Consider the following 20,428-nt stretch of genomic DNA (forward strand, 5'->3'; position numbering starts at 1 on the left):
CTTAGGACCCAGGATGTGCAAGGTGCTTTGCTTGGCATCTGAGGAGAAACAGCAGTGAGACCACGGACCATGTCCTCTTTAGTACTTTGTTCTAATCAACTCAACTGACCACACAGATGGAATTTAGATAGACAGAAAATAAATAAGTATTGAGCTTTAACTAAAATTCCTTTGTGAGTCAACAAAACAGCTAAACACATCAACTTGGACACATTGTAACGGCAGAAAATGAAGATCTGTTAAGCCCACAAATCAACCCACATTTCTCCTGAAGAATGTTCTTATAATTAGGGCACTTGAGCTGTGTTAAAGTGTTTCGCTCCTCCAGCGGTCATATTCTACTTTAATTTCCTTCTTGCAGTATACTCTCCCTCCAGACCGTAAAAGATGTTGTGGTAAGGAAGTGACAAAGAATGTGAGGAAAATGAAGAGGATACTCAAAAGCAAGATGCAGAAACGACGATTAGATTTACCCTGTGTTGATTTCCCTACTCCATCGTATGGAGCCGAGTGTGCTGGGAAAGGTGCTTTGTTTGTTGCCCGGGTGGTGTGTGCGGGTTATGTGAGGTTGGTCCATGTCGTGACTTGTTCCCTGGAACCTGGTGGCAGCAGTGTTTTCATAAGCACCACCGGCATGTTGACAGTTGCGTGGAGTTCAGAGTCCATGGACCCTGGGGACCATGACGCCCCCGTGTGCAGGTGACAACACGCCTGCTGAAGGCCACGCAGTCAACTGGAGAAGCCAGGGCCGGCTGCTGTGTCTATGCAGGATGCTTCTGCTCCTCTGTCCCAGTGTGAGGTGCCATGACAACGGTCAGGCCTCTCTCAGTGCCTCAGCAGCCAGCCCAGGGCTTGGAATGCTTTGTTGGATAGATCTGTAGGCCACATCCAGGACAACACTGAATTACCAATTTCTGTTATGTGTGCTGAATTTTCATTGCTGTAGCCTTGAGTCCAGGCCTTCTATTCCAGCTGGCACAGGGTAGCCAGGGGCTAGTCCCTGTGGAGAGAAGCTGCCTGTCCACCACCTCCATCAGAGCAGGCCCTGCCTTCCTTCATCCTGAGAAGGCTGTGGCTTACTTTACGGCAGGCACTTCACATGAATATTTGATTCAATCCCGCTCATTGCTATGGAGTAAATGTTATTTGTATTCCTGTTTTAGTGACAAGGAAACTGAGATTGTGGTGGTAAAGCCTGGTAGGGAGTCCTGGTGGTCTCATTTTAGGGCCCATAACCTTAACGTCTTCTGAGGCTCCCTCCTTCTCACTCTAAGGCACTTGCCTTTCTGGTCTGCACAGAGGCAGGTCCTGTGATTTCAAGTTGCGTCGGTGTGTCTCTGCCCTCTCACTGGCCGGCATGAAGCTCTGGATCCCAGAGAGGAGCCGACCGTCGCAGCAGCTTCGGGTAAACGCTTGTGAATGAGCAGGGAAGGAGCGGCTGATGGTGCCCAGCCTGGCACCTGCACCCAACAGGCCTGGTGCTCCCGCCTGCTGTGGAGGAGTAGGTCCCCCAGACTCTGTGACTCCGAGACCCTTCTTATCCCTAGAAGAAAACATCAGTTACCGGAGACAACTGTTATACTTGTAACAAAATGTCATTTACTCACTTGGAGACAAAGTTCAGCCCAGCCACTGCTGCAGATACTATGGACCCATTTTTTTTTTAATGGAAGAAAAGGACTATTTAAAAAAAAATCATTGATTTTATTACTGAAGTGTACAGAAACCCAAAAGGACAAGCCGGTGTGGAGCAAACCCCTGGTTTCCCAATGGGGCGTCGCAGCTGCTGAGCAGGATTCCAGACTGGAGACTGGCGGCGCCCGTTGAAACATGACTGGCGGTTCTGCGGCTTCACAGCCTCACATGTTGCTTTGAATAAGAGAACATTCCTTTTAATATACCAATTTCCCTTCAGTTCTGTTTATGAAATGCTCCTTTGAAAATACTAGTTTAATGCAATCTAGGAATTTAATTCCTAAGAAAATGGAAAAATGAAGTGCTCTGAGTCACCAGCCAGAGATCACAGTGCTGTGCTCCGGGGCGTTGCTGTGGGTGGTGGCTTGGGGACCCTCGGGAAGCTATGCTTGGTGTCCCTCTAAGAGGCTTCCCAGAGCCGCACCTCTTGGTGCAGGAACAGGCCTCTTGCCGGTGACATAGACTCTTCCTGACGTCTCCACTAAATTGCTCATTTTTGTCAACATCCAACCTAGACACTGCTCACACCAAGTAAGAACGGCTCACTCCCCACAGTGACTCCTCGGGAGGCGTTTCCCACCGTGGGATTCTTCCCCATCTTTCTTGGCAGGCCCGTCTCTCCTTAGCGATACCACAAATCACCCCTTCCACGACCAAACCCACCCAAATGAATCGCTTCTGTTCCCTTCCCCACCCGCTGAACACTTGTAACATTGTAACAGTGAAGTGACCCATGTAACGGGGGTTTCAGTGGAAGAAGAAATGTCGTGGGAAATTTCACAAAACCAGTGAAATTGTTATTTCATTTATTTTATTTATTTATTTTTTGAAACAAAGCCTCACTCTGTTGCCCAGGCTGAAGTGCAATGGCACGATCTCGGCTCACTGCAACCTCTGCCTCCCAAGTTCAAGTGATTCTCCTGCCTCAGCCTCCCGAGTAGCTGGGATTACAGGCATGCGCCACCACGCTCGGCTAATTTTTGTATTTTTAGTAGAGATGGGTCTCACCATGTTGGCCAGGCTGTTATCGAACTCCTGACCTCAGGTGATCCACCTGCCTCGGCCTCCCAAAGTGCTGGGATTACAGGCGTGAGCCACCGTGCCCAGCCTGTTATTTATTTTTGAAGTTGAAGTTCATGAACTGATTTTTATTTTTAAATTATTTTATTAGCTTTATTTTTAAATTGTCTGCTAATTCATCCTTAAAAATCAATTCCGTAAGTTTTTCACTTATTAAAAGTGAGGCTGTCGTGGGCCCTCCACCCAATTCACTTGGGACCCTCACTGGGGAGGCGAGTGAGAAGCCTGGCCTGAGCCTGCCATGCTGAGGGGCTGAGCAGAGACGTGAACCCCTGGCCAGGCGTGTGTGTGCCTGAGCCGTGTGGCGTCCAGCCTGGGGCTGGCCACGGCGACATGAATGGCCCCACGTGGGAACTGCCCAGCTGAACCCTTCCCAAGTTTCTGACACACAACATTTTGTGTATAGGCAAAATAAAATTCATGTTTGAAGCCGCTAAATCCTGGAGTGTTTGTTCCACAGCAGCAGCAGCTGAAGCAGGTCCCGGATGATGTCAAACATCTTGCAGCTGTGCAGAGGGCACCATCCATCCTGCACCTTTCTCAGCTGACTCTCAGGCCGGAAAGCGTCCCGATGAAATGGGGTCCTAAGGTGACGCCAGCCCTGGCCACAGTCACAAATGCTGAGAGCCTCTAGGTGAACTCGGGTCACAAAGTCTAACACCTTCCTTGCAGGTTTCATGTTAGCCTGTTTCCAGATGCAGCCTGGGAACAGTAAGTGTGGGTGCACCTGTTCTAGGTGTGCCACTGTGTCTGGGTGTGAATGCTTTTAGCCCCCACGGGAGGCGAATGCCACTTTTTCTTCACTTCGAGATGCAGAGTCACGAGTGCAGGAATGAGGTGAAGCAAAGCTGTGCGGCTCCGTGGGGCAGGACTTGCCCCAGCCCGTCTGGTCCAGCAGCCGCACTCTCAGCTGGACCCTTAGACGGGAAATCTTAGCGACTTTTCTAGGGTGAAGCTTGATGGCGTTGTGATGGGGCGTTCTCGATGCTGCTTTCTTAGCCTAGAAAAGCACAGAGTGGGCGCCCTCCCTGCTCCGTGGTGCGCGTGTTGATTGTCTACTGCTGTATAACAAACTCTCACAAACGTTAGTGGCTTCAAACACCTGTTTGATTTTGCACACGATTCCATGGACAAGGGATCCTCTGATCCTCCGGGTTCTGGCACTGCTGAGGCTGAAGGACCACCTCCCACCGGGTGCTGGTGCGGCTGAGGCCGAGGGACCCCTCTTACCGGGTGCTGGCACAGCTGAGGCTGAAGGACCCACCTCTCATTTGGCTTTTCTGAGCGTGCCTGGCCTCTCTCTGTCTCTCCACGTGGGCTCTCTGTGTGGCTGGGGCTGCCACGTGTGTGGAGTCAGCGTGGTGCTTCTCACATGGAGTGGCTTCCTGAAGGCAGGTGACATCGGCCGCAGGCCAGGTCAGGGCTATGCCTGTAGCCAGCAGCTTCAAGCCTCCGACCCTCAGTCTGAACCGCAAGTCCTGCCCAGGTTAAGGGGTGAAGAAACAAGAGCCTCTCCGGAGGGAGTGGCCAGAGAAGACTGCAGAGGAGAATGTGGGGTGGGAGATGCTGGAAAATGCCATCTGCCACAGCAGGCGGGGTGGGCGGGCGAGAGAAAGAGAGGATGTGGCAGCTCCGTTTCCTGGGAGGTTTCACCCCCACTCTGGGAGGAAGACCCTTCAGCTCCACCTGGCCAGGAACCTGTTCTCACTTCTCCTTCCTTTTCAATGGAGATAACGTCTGTTATGCCTGACTCTAAAACCAAATGTGCTTGGTGCTGGGTTGGAGAGCAGAGTGCTGTGGAAATGTCCATTGATGTTGTTTTCTGAAAAGCCATTGGGCAGCATGAGAACAGAAGATGACACACTGCCCTTTTGCCCCTGGAGACCCAGTTCCATCTGGAAAGACAGCACTATAAACATGAGCTGTGGACTTTTGAAAATTGGAGACACTGCATGCAGAAAGTTCCAGGACCTCACCAAGCTGCATAGCTAGCAAGCAGCAGAGCAAGAGAGAGGCCAACATGGTACATTCTCAACCAGCCCAGCCCATCCTGTGCCATTTTTACCAAACCCTCACCCATTGGAACTCAGCGATCCGATTAGGACCATTATGGTGTCAGCTTCTTTCCAGGATGACATTGAGTAAGGAAATTCATTTTTAAAACTTTTAGCTGTTAAAAATGTAAACCAAGGCCCAAATTTTTACTTTAACAGGTCTCAGCAAGCTGAGAGGGTGACCCAACAGTGCAGCGCTGCTCTCAGCTGCCACGACCCACACAGTCGCTGGGAGGGAGGGTCCTGTGGAGGACGCATTGTCCACGGTTGCACTGCAAGGTGAGGTCTCAAAGCCATTGTTGTCCAAGGTTGCCTGGGCATTGAAGGCCTGGGGAGCAGGATGTGGTTTCTCCACGTTGTCTGATCCTGAGGGCAAGCATTTGATGTGTGAGTGGCTGCTGGAAAGCACTGGAATTCCCTAAGCAGATACAACACACTGGGGAGACAATGGCCATGAAGGTGAAAAAGTAATAGCCAAGGACCGAAAAGCTCCCTGGAGCAGAGACCCCGAGGAGCCGAGACTTAACCAGTTAAATCCATCAGTGGAGGAGGCAGCACCTGTAGATGGGAGACTTGTATTTGTTTCCTAAGTGCCTTTAGATTTTGGGTAATGATTTCTAATTTATTAACATAAAAACAATGTTTTTTTAGATCAATAAGAGCACAAACTCCTCCTTACTAACCTGTTGAGGTGTCAAGAATGTGTACTTTGGAGTACCATTGAGGCTAAATTGTTCATTTCAGATTGTATTGCTTGAAGGGAATTCAAGGTATTGTTTTATGAAAACAAGAAAAGTGAAGGTTAACATTTGGAGCAAATTATGATCTTAGTGGCTGAGTCCAGAGGGCAGCTGTCAAGAAGATTTCCAGATATGAGTTTGAAGCTTCTTGAGATGGTGGAATGTGGACAGCAGGTGAGATCCAATGGACCTCTCTGGTTTGCAGCCGTCATGTCCCTGGTGATGTCATCGGCTGTTCTGGTGAACCCTGAGTGACCGCGTGGCAGCGGCCATGAACACTGTCCATCCGTGGTCTGCCGCAGGGATTCTTCTAAGTTTAAAGTCATCCAGATTCAGTTTGCAGGGCTTGGGAGAAAAAGATAAGTATTCCACTTTTTTTTCTTTCTTTTTTTTTTTTTTTTTTTTGCAAAAGCTTATTTTATCAAATGGCTGCAAGTTATAGACAGCTTAATAGAAAAAAAAAGGGTTCTTTAAATCTGAAAAATAAGATATTAAGGAGCCAGTAATGTTTCAAACAAAAAGTCATAAAAGTTACAATTATTCTAATAGTTAATTCAGTACCATATAATTAATGGTACTGAATTTTGTTTTGTTCAGTCTTTGCTTAGCGGTTTTATGAATCCATCAGTTTTTCGTTACAGTTCTGGAAATCCTTAATAGTATGATCTTAAAGTTATCAGACACAAGTACTTGTTACAGTTTTTCTCATGAATCTCTTGCAATTTTGTATCAAGCAACTGACAAGAAATTTGGTTGATTTGGTGACATGCCACATTTTAAGAACATAGTTAGAGTATGACTGATGATGTTATACCAGAACATATCAGATTTTTAGAAATTTCATGTAATTTTTAAGCACTTCTATGACTAATACATATCCATGTATGTGTAACCTAAGATTCTGTATTTGACAGTGCTTCTCATGCAATTTAACATATTCAATAAGCTCATTAGTTTAGCATCTCTCTTTTTATAAGGAGAGAAAATGTTCTTTTGATGTATTCCCCAGGGTCCCTCCTGAAAACTACCAAAGTTAATTTGAGGTGAAAAAGACTTAATATAGAATTTGATTTTGGGATGCCGTTAAAAATGTCAAATGGCTTAAAACACTTAAGACCACAGGCCGCTGCGGAACAAGGCCAAAGTGACAGAAGATTTTAAAGGCAAATACAGAAAGCAGCTTAGTTGCCAAAAAAAAAAAAATCTTAGCTTTTTTAGTATTGAAAAGACTATTTTCTTAAGTAATCAAAGACCTGATAAAAGACAACATGAAGCATAAGAAATTAATCTGATAAAACACAAAATCATTGTTTTTTAGGCCAATTGCTTAAAAGGCAAAAAAACCTTTCATAATCAAGAGCAGACCAACTCCAAGAAAACTTTGTCCTTTTAACAAAGAGAAAGCAAAATTCCAACGCAGCGTCAGCACTTCTTAAACTGTTTTTTAAACCTTATAAGTAAAATTATTCTAATCTTAGTTTGACCACATATAAATTTTTTTTCTCAGACTTTCTACAATTTTCTATATGCATTAAATTTTTGTCTTACTCATTTTCTTCTTTATTCTGGAACAATCAGTTATCTTGCTTTAGGACAAAATCTCTTTTTTTCCTTAAACACAGATCTCGTATATTTTTTCTCATTAAAAGCACATTCTACTTTCTTTGTACATTTTTCATACTCCATTGTTTGCTTCAGTCTTTATTTTTCTAGTGGTTTTAATGACACATGTTAATTCAAATTCTTAATTCTTAGTGGCATTAATATTCACTGTGAATTAGGAAGCACATGATGTCGTCGTTCTTAGCTGGCGTGTGCTCACTGAATTAGGAGGCACACGATGTCGTTCTTAGCTGGCGTGTGCTCACTGAATTAGGAGGCACACGATGTCGTCGTTCTTAGCTGGCGTGTGCTCACTGAATTAGGAGGCACACGATGTCGTCGTTCTTAGCTGGCGTGTGCTCACTGAATTAGGAGGCACACGATGTCGTCGTTCTTAGCTGGCGTGTGCTCCCTCAGCACAGGACACGCCTACCGGCAGACCCAGGTAGCTCCAGTTCCTCTATAAGCAGCCAAAAATAATTCAGCTTTAATTTATTTTATGAAACATTGAACTTAATGTTTTAGTAGTTTATCGTATCCAGGCATGATCTAGATATTTAATAACTATTGTTTAAGTTAGTACAATTTTAGAGTTTCAAGTTTTCAAAAGTATTTTGGAAACTGTTTGTAGGCAGACATAACTCCTTGTCATCTCAGGATATTTTTCTTGTTGACAAATTTTGTAACAGAAATTTTGTAAGCTTATTTGACTATTACAGCTAGGTAGAATATCCGTTTCTACTAAATCATCAATATTCTCATTTATTAAAAATGACTCACTGGGCATGGTGGCTCACGCCTGTAATCCCAGCACTTTGGAAGGCCAAAGGATTGCTTGGGGCCAGGAATTTCAGATCAGCCTGGCCAACGTAGTGAGACCCCTGTCTCTACAAAAAATTAAAAAATTAGCTGGGTGTGGTGGTGCATGCCTGCAGTCCTGGCTACTTGGGAGGCTGAAGTGGGAAGACTGTTTGAGCCCAGAAGATTGAGATTGCAGTAAGCTATGATCACGTCACTGCACTTCAGCCTGGCAACAGAGCAAGACTCTCTTAAAAAAGAAACAAAACAAAAAGATTACTCAAGTTATGTGACCTTGAAAATGATTTGGGTTCATTTGTTTTCTGAGAAAATTTGTATAAGCACTTACTTTTCTTTAGGCCAGTAAAATAGAGCTCTTTTAATATTATTTCTAATAATACCATCCAGAGGTAGACTGATATAACATATAAATAACATACATACATATAGACGTACATAACCAAACAGATGCAGAGGTTCCTGGCTTCTGTTCTCAAATTGTAGCCCTGTGCCAGGAACGATAATATAAAACTCACTGGTCGGTCCAAATTGTGTTCTTGGCAGATAAAGTTACCTGTTCGGATGGCCAAAGTCTTTTGTTAATACATATGGAAAGGACTTTACGATTTTCCATTTGCCAGTTTTTTTCTACAGTGTTCCCATTTTTTCTCCCTTCTGATGCGTCATTTCCCAGATGCCTGCATTTTAAAGATTTCGGTATCTCTAAGGCAGGGAGAAAGGACATTAAGTTTTCTCCAGAAAGGAGCTGTGGGCATAGTTGCCTGTTGTCTGGGGTCAGCTTTATTGGGACCGTGGGCCGTGTTTAGGGGGTGGCCAGGAGACACTGGTGTGTTGACGAGTCCTTCTCCTCTTCAGCCTCAGGTGGCTGCTGTTGTATAGCTCAGGGTTGTGTGCAAGAGGCCACAAATCTGAAGTTAGTTGTTGCAGATGCCCCACGCTCAGTGGAGGATTTAATTTGTAAGGAAGTTGGTTTTCACAATCTTCTTATGGAAAAGGCAAGAAATCAAATGTTAGTATACTCAAAATAATGTGTTGTTCGAGTGCTGTAGAGATTCCTTTAGGGAGGCTGCATTTTGGAGTCCTTCTGTCTAAAATCAATCATCTGTATGCCAATCATTCTGTCTAAAATCAATCGGTATGCCAATCATTGTGTCTGAAATCAATCTGTATGCCAATCATTCTGTCTAAAATCAATCGGTATGCCAATCATTCTGTCTGAAATCAATCGGTATGCCAATCATTCTGTCTGAAATCAATCGGTATGCCAATCATTCTGTCTGAAATCAGTCTGTATGCCAATCATTCTGTCTGAAATCAGTCTGTATGCCAATCAAAAAATATATTGCGTGGTTTGCAGATACTCACGATTCCTTGTTCTTGAATGTGCCCGTCCGTGATGATTTCATGTGGAATAAACTTCCCACTGTGGCCACTGTGACTCGGAGTCATCCCCCTGAGCTGCACCCATTTCTCCAGAAAGGCACGGGCTCTGGGTCTGTAGTTTCTGAACATGTAATTAGCTGGAGTTCCAGATGGGTGTCCCAGACTCCATGGATTCTGATGAACCCATAATTCCCTGTTTTTCTCACATTTTTCTTACCTGAGGCCTCCGACTGGATCCAGGCCAGTTCCTGTAGAACACCCAGTTTCACTCTGGATCCCAGTCCAGGTTCCAGTGCAGTCCCTGTCAGACCCAGGCTGAGCTCTGGAATAAAAACTGCTCCCATGGAGTCGGAGAGCTCAGGGTGCAAGTTGTGGAGCTCGACCTCCTAGAGGGGCTTCCCCTGTGGCCACCAAATGCAGCAAGACAGCAGTGGGTGCAGTGGCCCGGGGGCTGCCCGCGCCTGGTTACTCGCTGCTCCTGGGGATCTCACTTCTGACGAGACTGTCAAAAAGGTAAACTGAGGCACAGTGCTGTGTTTAAAGAGTTCATTTGAGCAAGCAACAATTCATGAACCAGGCAGCTCCAAACCAGAGGTGGTTCAGGAACTCCCCTGAAGGAATGTGAGGGGGAGGCTTTTATAGACGACACAGAAGTAAAGCAAAGAATGTTGGCTTGGTTACACTTGCACAGCTGCCTTATTTGTTCTATCCCATTGGAAAGTCCCTCGTTGATACGATTATTAAAGTTTGTTGGCTACTTCTGATTATTTATTCTGATATGATCCTTGATATGATAATAATTGATATTATTGATATCAATTATTGGTAGATTGATATAATTGATATGATATTCTGGTATGATTACTAAAAGTTTGTTGGCTACTTCTGATTGTTCTGATAACTTAAGTTCTATTCTTTTTTAAAATGGGAATTTACAAGAAATGGCTCAAGTTAAGTGTTGCTTATGTCTGCAAATCAATCAAGGTTGAGGTAATTTATGAGACCTGACTGGTTGTGTCTGCCCAGAGCTTCTTGATATCTGTTTCCTTTTAAATTTACTTTAAAATAGCCAGTCTAACAATATTACATGTGCTTCATGCATTTAACTTAAAAGGTTGTTTTCTAAAGACTATCTTTGTTTATGGTATAATATTATAAAATACTATTTTATTTTGAATTAAAAACATCTGTTTTTCAGGTAATATCAAAAGAGGATACCAACGTGGCCTTTAAGAATATACACGTTTTCCATGTAATTATTTCTCATTATTTGTTAGGGAAGTGCATTAGACACTCAGTGCAGAGGCTAAAATTAAAAAGGCTGATCATACCAAGTCTTGGCAATGATATGGAGTAATAGCACTCACATTGTTGATCAGGGCATACATATGTGCAATCCCTTTGGAAAACTGTTTGGCAGTAGGTACTACGAACTAGACATATGTCCACTGATGACCTAACGATTCCTCTGCTAGGTACAAACCCAAGACAAATGTGTGTGTGTGTCCACCAGCATACACATCCAAGAGCGTCGTAGCCAATAAGTACAGACAACCCAGACATGCACTGACGGAACAGTGGGCAGTGGCCTGTGCTGTGGTCACACCTTGGCTCCCTCTGTGGCAGGAGAGGACAGGTGCACACAGAACAACAACACGTCACAGATGTGATGAAGTGGGGGGGAGCCAGACACAGGAGTCCTCAAAGCAGGAGCCCAACCCTAGAGTTTGACGGCAGACACACTTTTCTGTGCTGATAGAAGTCAGAACAGTGACCCTCTGGGGCTGGGGTGATGACTGGGAAGAGGCACTGGGGACTCCTCCTGGGTGTCCGGAATGTTGTATATGTTGATCGTGAGGGTGTGGCATGTGTGTGTGTGAGTACCATGTGGCATGTCTGTGGTGTGTACGCTACATGGAGTATGTGTATGTGTGTGGTGTATGTAGTGTGTATATATGTGTGGTGTGTGTGTATATGGTGTGTGTATGTGTGCTGTGTGTACTGTGTGTTGTGTGTACGTTGTGTGTATGTGTGGTGCATGTGGTGTGTGTGGGTTGTGACGTGTGTTGTGTAACGTGTGGTATGTCTGGTGTGTTTGCCATGTGGTGTGTGTGTATGTGTGGTGTGTGTATGTGGTGTGTGTATATTGGTGTGTGTGGTGTGTTTTGTGTGTAATGTAATGTGTGTGTCGTGCATGTATGTGTATATGTGTGTTGTGTGGTGTGTGTGTTGTATGTGTGTTGTGTGTATGTGTGTTGTGTGTCTAGTGTGTGGTCTAATGTGTGGTGTGTGTATGTGTGGTGTGTATGTCGTGTGTGTATGTGTGTGGTGTGTGTCTCTGGTGTGTGTGTTGTATGTGTATGTGTGTGTATGGTGTGTGTGTGTGGTGTGTGTGTTTGGTGTATGTGGTGTGTGTTTTGTGTGTAATGTAGTGTGTGTGTTGTATGTGTGTTGTGCACGTATATGTGTGTGGTGTGTGTGGTGTGTATATGTGTGTTGTGTGTATGTGTGTTGTGTGTGTGTTGTGTGTGTGGTGTGTGTGTGGTGTGTGTGGTATGTGTCTTTGTGTGGTGTAGTGTGTGTGTCGTGTGTATGTATGTGTGTGTGTGGTGTGTGTGGTGTGTGTGTGGTGTAGTGTGTGTGGTGTGCATGTAAGATCCATTATGTTACATAAGATCCATTCAGGTTATGTGCGTCCATTTTCTCAGTATTCTCAGGTGCACACAGGAAAATGCCTTCTTCACAGAGAAGCACATAATGGTGGACGCTTGAGTCCATTTGGAGAAAGACTGAGAACACTAACGTTTAACTTCCTGGATTCTTCTCAGCCAGTTGGTGGATTTTCTTTTAAACTTTACACATTTTATGTGGCTTCAAGGGACAGCAAAATGTTACAAAACTGAAAGCCAAACAGAAATATGCCTTGAAGAAGTTGCAGACGCTGTTTTCTAAAAACACTGTTTTTGGTTCTGTCAGCAGGAAACGGCAGCTTTCTTTCTATGTCACAAACGATGGTGGCTCCTGGGGTCACCCAGTCAACAACAGCTGCAAGACACCAGCTTCTCGAGGCACCGCCCTCCTGAGCTCTTGGCGCCACGAGGTCATTGGCCAAGCATTTGAAGAGTGAATCACCGGTGTGCGCGTGGACACCCAGGCCACTGCTGGGACCCTGCGACCTAGGCTGGCTGCTGCCGCTGCCTCTGAGCAAGGGGCTTGGGAAGGGTGCCTCAATAAGCTGCTGATTGCTGTGGCAGCTGTGCCCTCTTCTGCCAGCCTCTCTGCGAAATGATGTAAAACGTGCCCCAGAGCTGTCCCTCCGAGGGCCATGAATGCCAAGGCACTCACCACCCTCTCCCTCCTTCCCCTGGCTGCTCCTGGGCAACAAGGCCCCACCAGAGACCCAGGTGGAAAGTGCGGGTTGTCTGAGCAAGGTGCGTCCTGAGAGGGGAATGCTGAGGGGCTGTGGGCAGGATGGCACTTCCCACCCACCAAGTGCTCAGAGTGTCAGCATTGTTTCCAAGTCACAGGTGAAAGTCGAAATACACACCCCCTTCCTTCAACACCTTTTCTTCAGTCACAAATTTGGTGTTTAAAACTAAAATGAAGTTAAGAAAGTGAACTATTTCAGACAAAACCTCCTTCCTCTTGATGCAACATAGTAAGAGATGTTGGTCCAGCTAAAATTATTTTCTCCTAATTAGAGAGACAACCCACAGCATGGATGGTTACAAACTGTACATCTGATAAAGGGTTAATACCCAAAATATGTAAGGAACTCAACCCAATAGCAAGAAAACCTGATTTTTAAAATGGGCAAAAGACCTGAACAGACATTTCTCAAAAGAAGACATACAAATAGCGAACAGGTTCATGAAAAAATGCTCAACATTACTAATCATTAGAGAAACGCAAATGAAAATCATGAGCTATCACATCACACCTGTTGGAATGGATATTCTCAAAAAAGACGAAATGTAAGCGTTCATGGGGATGTGGCGAAAAGGGAATCCTTGTACCCTGTTGGAGAAAACATGAATTAGTTCAGCCATTGTGGAAAACAGTATGGAGGTTCCTCAAAACACTAAAACTACAACTACCATAGTTTCCGGCGATCCCACTACCGGGCTTACAGCCAAATGAAATGGAATCAGTATGTCGCACAGGCACCTGCACCCCCATGTTTACCACAGGACTACTCACCACAGTCACGATGTGGAAGAAACCTGTGTCCATCAGAGGATGAATGGCTGAAGTAAATGTGGTATTACACAATGGAATACTAGTCAGCCTTAGAAAAGGAGAAAATTCTGTCACTTATGACAACATGGACAAACCTGGAGGACGTCATGTTAAGTGAAATAAGTCAGGCACAGAAAGGCAGATACTGAACGACCTCACTACAAGGGCTGAACTCATGGAAGCAGAGGCGGGATGGTTGTTACCAGGGGCTGGGGAAGGAGGAAGGAGGAGATGGGGAGATGTCAGTCAAAGGCTGCAAAGCTTTAGTTAGGAGGAATACGTCTAATGATCTATTGCACAGCAGGGTGACTACAGCTAATGCCAGCTGACCTGGGAACAATGAGGGCCTGAGCTGCACAGGTCCACACAGTCAGGTCTGCACAGCAGATTCCTCGTCCACAGCCAAACACTGAGGGATGAGAATCCCGTGTATGCGGAGGGCTGACTTTTTGTATTTGTGGGTTCTGCAGGGCCGACTGTGGGACTGGAGTATAAGATTTTGGTGTCTTGTGGATCCTGGAACCCATCCCCCGTGGATACCAACGGATGCCTGTATATGTTTCAAAATCGATAAGAGCAATTCTCTTAACTTCAAATGCTCCCACCACAAAATAAGGATCAAGTATTTGAGGTGATGTTAACTAGCTTGATTCAATCATTCCGCATTGTATATATATCGTAACATCAAATCCTACCTCAGAAATGTAACACAATTACGATTTGTCAATTACAAGTATTCTAACAGTAGCGAAGAAAGGATCCTCTCCTGAAGGGCTCATTTGTGGTCGCTGCCTTCACCCTCCCTCGGGGTCTTTCTCTCACTTAAGCTTCTGCTCCTCTCACAAGCTCAGGGTCATGTGTTTCCAGTACAGGGAGATATTTTGAATGATTTCAGATTTTCTCTGCTTGTTTCTACGGCCCAAACTCAGTTCAGACCCCACATGCATGCCGTGGGTAGGCCAGAAGGCCAGGGAACACGAGTGAGCACCGAAATCCACAGCGACATCCAAAAGGTGAGCGTGCGGCTGGAGACGGCGCAGGGCCTGGGCGTGCTTGCTGGACCTGGGAGATGTGTCATTGCCTGTTCCCAAATGGCGTTGTTGCATCCTGGGGTGAACTTTGAGGGAACACGAGCGACTCCATGCCACCTACCAAGTGAAAGGCAGGCCTGATGCCATGCCTGGGGTGGGGTCCACATCTCCAGTGGTAGAGATGACTCACCACACCACGTGCTCCTCCGCCGCGCCCTTCCCACAGCACTGGCTTAACCTGGGGGACTCTGAGTCCTTTATCAAGGTTGTCCTGGGAGATGGGAGTTTAAACACCCAGCCCGCAAGGCCACGGCCATTCCCAGGCTTCTCTCTCCACACACCTGGGCTTTGTCAGTGGGTGCAGTGATCGAGGGCATAACCGGGCTCCATCCCAATGCTGCCTCATCCCTGCAGTCACCCCGCACAGGTGACGCAGGCTTCAGAGGGCCCCGGACCTCGCCTGAGGGTGAAGAAAATCACGGCATCACTGACAAGGCCGCCATGAGGATCGCGTGAGCAGAAACACGATGATCATGGCTCACTGATGGGGCAGCTCTGAGGATCGCGTGAGCAGAAACACACAGATAATCACAGAATCACTGACGGGGCAGCTCTGAGGATCACGTGAGCAGAAACACACAGATAATCACAGAATCACTGACGGGGCTGCTGTGAGGATCCCGTGAGCAGAAACATGGATGATCACGGCTCACTGACGGGGCAGCTCTGAGGATCGCGTGAGCAGAAACACACAGATAATCACAGAATCACTGACGGGGCCGCTGTGAGGATCCCGTGAGCAGAAACATGGATGATCACGGCTCACTGACGGGGCAGCTCTGAGGATCACGTGAGCAGAAACACACAGATAATCACAGAATCACTGACGAGGCCTCTGTGAGGATCCCGTGAGCAGAAACATGGATGATCGCGGCCTGACTGGCGGGGCTGCTGTGAGGATCATATGACCAGAAACACGTGGAAGATCATGGCTCACTGACGGGGCTGCTGTGACTATTGCGTGAGCAGAAACACGATGATCATGGCTCACTGAATGGGCAGCTCTGAGGATCGCGTGAGCAGAAACATGGATGATCATGGCTCACTGACAGGGAGGTCTGAGGATTGCGTGAGCAGAAACACAGATAATCACAGAATCACTGAGGGGGCCACTGTGAGGATCGCATGAGCAGAAACACACAGATGATCACGGCTCACTAATGGGGCCGCTGCGAGAATCGCGTGAGCAGAAACACGGATGATCATGGCTCACTGACGGGGCAACTCTGAGGATCACGTGAGCAGAAACACACAAATAATCACAGAATCACTGACGGGGCCACTGTGAGGATCGCGTGAGCAGAAACACACAGATAACCAAGGCCTGACCAACGGGGCTGCTGGGAGGATCCCGTGAGCAGAAACACGGACGATCACAGCATCACTATCGAGACGGCTCTGAGGATCCTGTGAGCAGGACACTGGTGTGTTATGCTTTAAAGCTTTTCCTTGATCTTGGTGATTTCACGTCTTAGGAAACCTCCCTCACTAATCAGCCGGCCCCGTGGGCAATGCAGCTTCTCCTGAAAAGCAAACACTTCAACTTTCAGGCTTCGTGGCCACTGACCCGCTTCTGGCCAGGGGCAGCCTCCTCCCTACCCCTCGTGTAACGGACTACGGGACTGGACATCTGTCACGATGCCATTTGAGACGGAAAGGGCACTGGGCCAGTGTCTGGAACTGGCCCGCACGCCTCAGGTCATCTGTCACGATGCCGTTTGAGAGGGAAAGGGCACTGGGCCGGCGTCTGGAACTGGCCCCCACGCCTCAGGTCATCTGTCACGATGCCGTTTGAGACGGAAAGGGCACTGGGCCAGTGTCTGGAACTGGCCCCCACGCCTCAGGTCATCTGTCACGATGCCATTTGAGACGGAAAGGGCACTGGGCCAGTGTCTGGAACTGGCCCCCACGCCTCAGGTCATCTGTCACGATGCCGTTTGAGACGGAAAGGGCACTGGGCCGGCGTCTGGAACTGGCCCGCACGCCTCAGGTCATCTGTCACGATGCCATTTGAGACGGAAAGGGCACTGGGCCAGTGTCTGGAACTGGCCCCCACGCCTCAGGTCATCTGTCACGATGCCGTTTGAGACGGAAAGGGCACTGGGCCGGCGTCTGGAACTGGCCCCCACGCCTCAGGTCATCTGTCACGATTCCGTTTGAGAGGGAAAGGGCACTGGGCCGGCGTCTGGAACTGGCCCCCACGCCTCAGGTCATCTGTCACGATGCCGTTTGAGACGGAAAGGGCACTGGGCCAGTGTCTGGAACTGGCCCCCACGCCTCAGGTCATCTGTCACGATGCCATTTGAGACGGAAAGGGCACTGGGCCAGTGTCTGGAACTGGCCCCCACGCCTCAGGTCATCTGTCACGATGCCGTTTGAGACGGAAAGGGCACTGGGCCGGCGTCTGGAACTGGCCCGCACGCCTCAGGTCATCTGTCACGATGCCATTTGAGACGGAAAGGGCACTGGGCCAGTGTCTGGAACTGGCCCCCACGCCTCAGGTCATCTGTCACGATGCCGTTTGAGACGGAAAGGGCACTGGGCCGGCGTCTGGAACTGGCCCCCACGCCTCAGGTCATCTGTCACGATGCCGTTTGAGACGGAAAGGGCACTGGGCCGGTGTGTGGAAATGGCCCGAATGCCTCAGGTCATCTGTCACGATGCCGTTTGAGACGGAAAGGGCACTGGGCCGGTGTCTGGAACTGGCCCGCATGCCTCAGGTCATCTGTCACGATGCCGTTTGAGACGGAAAGGGCATTGGGCGGGCATCCGGAACTGGCCCCCACGCCTCAGGTGGGTCTGGCAGGCTGCATTTGTACCGTGGGCACTTGGTTTTTCCTTCTTCTTGAATAATTAGGAGTCCCTGAAAAGCAATATTTTCCTGGAATCCTCAGCTAAACCAGAAGCTCCTACACACCAAGCCAGAAGAACATGCTTCCAAATTTCCTGTGGGTGGATTGACCTGTAGGAACAGGATTTATTATTTTGTTTTCCAGACAGAAGAAATTCTGTTTCTTAACATTTGCAAACTCTTAGTCCAAGAATGTGGGGGAATTATAATGTATTTCAGAGTTACTCGTGGGTACAATTTTGAAGTAGGTCATGTGACTTTTAGCTTCTTCCTTTTTGAGCTGTCCAGGTCCCTCCTGTGAACACTCAGCTGCCCCCGACCCGCACTACGATCGTGTCCCTGGGGGAACGCCCGCCTGCACTTGGCATCTTTCCTGTCCGTCTGTGTAGTCCCGTCAAAACAGCCATGACTGAGGTACAAACATCTGATAATGACAAACTATCAGAAATACTGATTGCTCCTCAGTTGGCACAGGTTGTAATGATTTAAACGTGTCTGCCTCCCTCAATGGCTTTGTTTTCAGTTTTCTTTGTAGGAATATATTACAGCCTCTTCTGTTGGCTATAAAATTCACCCATAGCTGGGTAATTGAAAAAATAGCAATCCTGATTTTATAGACAGCTGGTGAGAAGTCCTGTTAGGTATTTGAACTTTTTTCATGCAGGCATACCTTAGCGATATTGTGGATCTAGTTCAGACTACCATAATCAAATGAATATCACAATAAAGCAAGTCACACAAATTTTTTGGTTTTTCAATGCATATAAAAGTTATTTTTATGCTATATTGTAGTCTTTCCAGTGTGCAATAGCATTATGTCTAAGAAACATTGTATATACGTTAATTGAAAGACTATTGCTAAAAATGCTAATGAGATCTGAGCTGTCAGCAGGTGGAAATCCTTGCTGATGATGGGGTCTTTCCTTGATGTTGATGGCTGCTGACTGATCAGAGTGGGCGCTGCTGAAAGCTGGGATGGCTGTGGCAATTTCTTAAAACAATGATGAAGTTGGCTGCATTGACTGACTCTTCCTTTCACAAAACCTTTCTCTATCATGATGCTGTTTGACAACATTTTATCCCCAGTAGAACTTCTTTCAAAATTGGAATCAACCTCCTAAACTCTGCTGCTGCTTTATCAACTAGGTTTATTTAATATTCTAAATCTTCTGTTGTCATTTCAACAATATTCACAGCATTTTCACCAGGAGTAGATTCCATCTTAAGTCATTTTCTTTACTTACTCATAAGAAGCATCTTTTTATCCATGTAAGTTTGATGATGAGATTGCAGCAGTTCAGTCCCATCTTCAGGCTCCACTTCTAACTCTGGTTCTCTTGCTCTTTCCACCACATCTCTGGTTCCTTCCTCCACCAAAGTCTTGAACCCCTCATGGTCATCCATGAGCTGGAATCAACTTCTTCCAAACTCCTGTGAATGTTGATATTTTGACCCCCTCTCGTGAATCCCAAATGTTCTTAATGACATCTAGAGTGGTGAATTTTTTTCTGAAAGGTTTTCAATTTACTTTGCCCAGATCTATCTGAGGAATTACTATCTATGGCAGTTACGGATGTATGAAATATATTTCTTAAATGAGACTCAAAAGTTTAGATGACTCCATGGGCTGAAGAATGGTTGTTGTTTCAGCCGGCATGAGAACAACATTCATTCTCCATCAGAGCTCTTGGGTGACCAGGTGCATTGTCGATGAGCAGTAATATTTTGAAAGGAATATTTTTTGGGCAGTAGGTCTCAACAGTGGGCTTAAAATATTCAGTAAACCATGCTGTAAACAGATGTGTTGTCATCCAGGCTTTGTTGTTCCGTTTATAGAGCACAGGTAGAGTAGATTTAGTATAATTCTTAAAGGCCCTAGTATTTTTGGAATAGTAAATGAGCATTAACTTCAACTTCAAGTCACCAGTGGCATTAGCCCCTCACAAGAGACTCAGCCTGTCCTTCGAAGCTTTGAAGCCAGGCATTGGCTTCTCCTCTCTAGCTATGAAGGTCTTAGGTGGCATCTTCTTCCAAAAGCTGGCTGCTTCACCTACACTGAAAATCTGTTGTCTAGTGTAGCCTCCTTCATCACTGATCTTAGCTAGATCTTCTAGATAACTTACTGCAGCTTCACCTTGCACTTTATGTTATGGAGATGGCTTCTTTCCTTATACCTCATGAACCAACCCCTGTGAGCTTCCAACTTTTCTTCTGCAGCTTCCTCTCCTCTCTTGGATTTCACAGAATTGAAGAGAGTTCAGCCTGTCACCTCTGGATTAGGCTGTTTTGCTTTCTCATCATTTATTTGTTCACTGGGGCAGCACTTTTACTTTCCTTCATGAACTTTTCCTTTGCATTCTCAGCTTGGCTAACCATTTTTCACAACAGGCCTCGATTTCGGTCTTTCATGCCTTTCAACATGGGTTCCTCACTAAGCTTAACCATTTCTAGCTTTTGATTTAAGGTGAGAGAGGTGTGGCTTTTTCTTTCATGTGAGCACTTAGAGGCACTTGCCAAATTTAAATATTCTTGAGTCTCAGGAAATAGGGAGGCCCAAGGAGTGGGAGAGAGATGGGGGGAAGGTTGGTTGGTGGGGCCATTGGAACTTACAACATGTATTAAGTTGGCCACCTTATATGGGTCCCCAAACCATTACAATAGTAACATTAAAGATCAACAGTCACAGATTACCATAACATTTGTAATAATGAAAAAGTTTGGAATATTATGGTAATTATCAAAATGTGACACAGAAACATGAAGTGAGCACATGCTGTTGGAAAAATGGCACCTATAGCCTCACTCAATTCAGGGTTGCTACAAACCTTCAGTTTGTGAGAAAAGCAGCACCTGTGAAACACAATAAAGGGAAGT

At 46.4% G+C, this 20,428-nt stretch overlaps 1 annotated feature.

Annotated features, from left to right (window-relative positions):
• Nucleotides 14,464-15,663: an enhancer, noted in NCBI's record as "BRD4-independent group 4 enhancer chr7:158961997-158963196 (GRCh37/hg19 assembly coordinates)". NCBI's record gives its function as "activates an origin of replication core promoter dependent on BRD2, P300/CBP, MED14 and CDK7 cofactors, and independent of BRD4, by STARR-seq in HCT116 cells {active_cell/tissue: HCT116}" and the evidence as "EXISTENCE:reporter gene assay evidence [ECO:0000049][PMID:35650434]".

The sequence above is a fragment of the Homo sapiens genome, chromosome 7 (assembly GCF_000001405.40).
Source record: "Homo sapiens chromosome 7, GRCh38.p14 Primary Assembly".
Taxonomy (NCBI): Eukaryota; Metazoa; Chordata; class Mammalia; order Primates; family Hominidae; genus Homo; species Homo sapiens.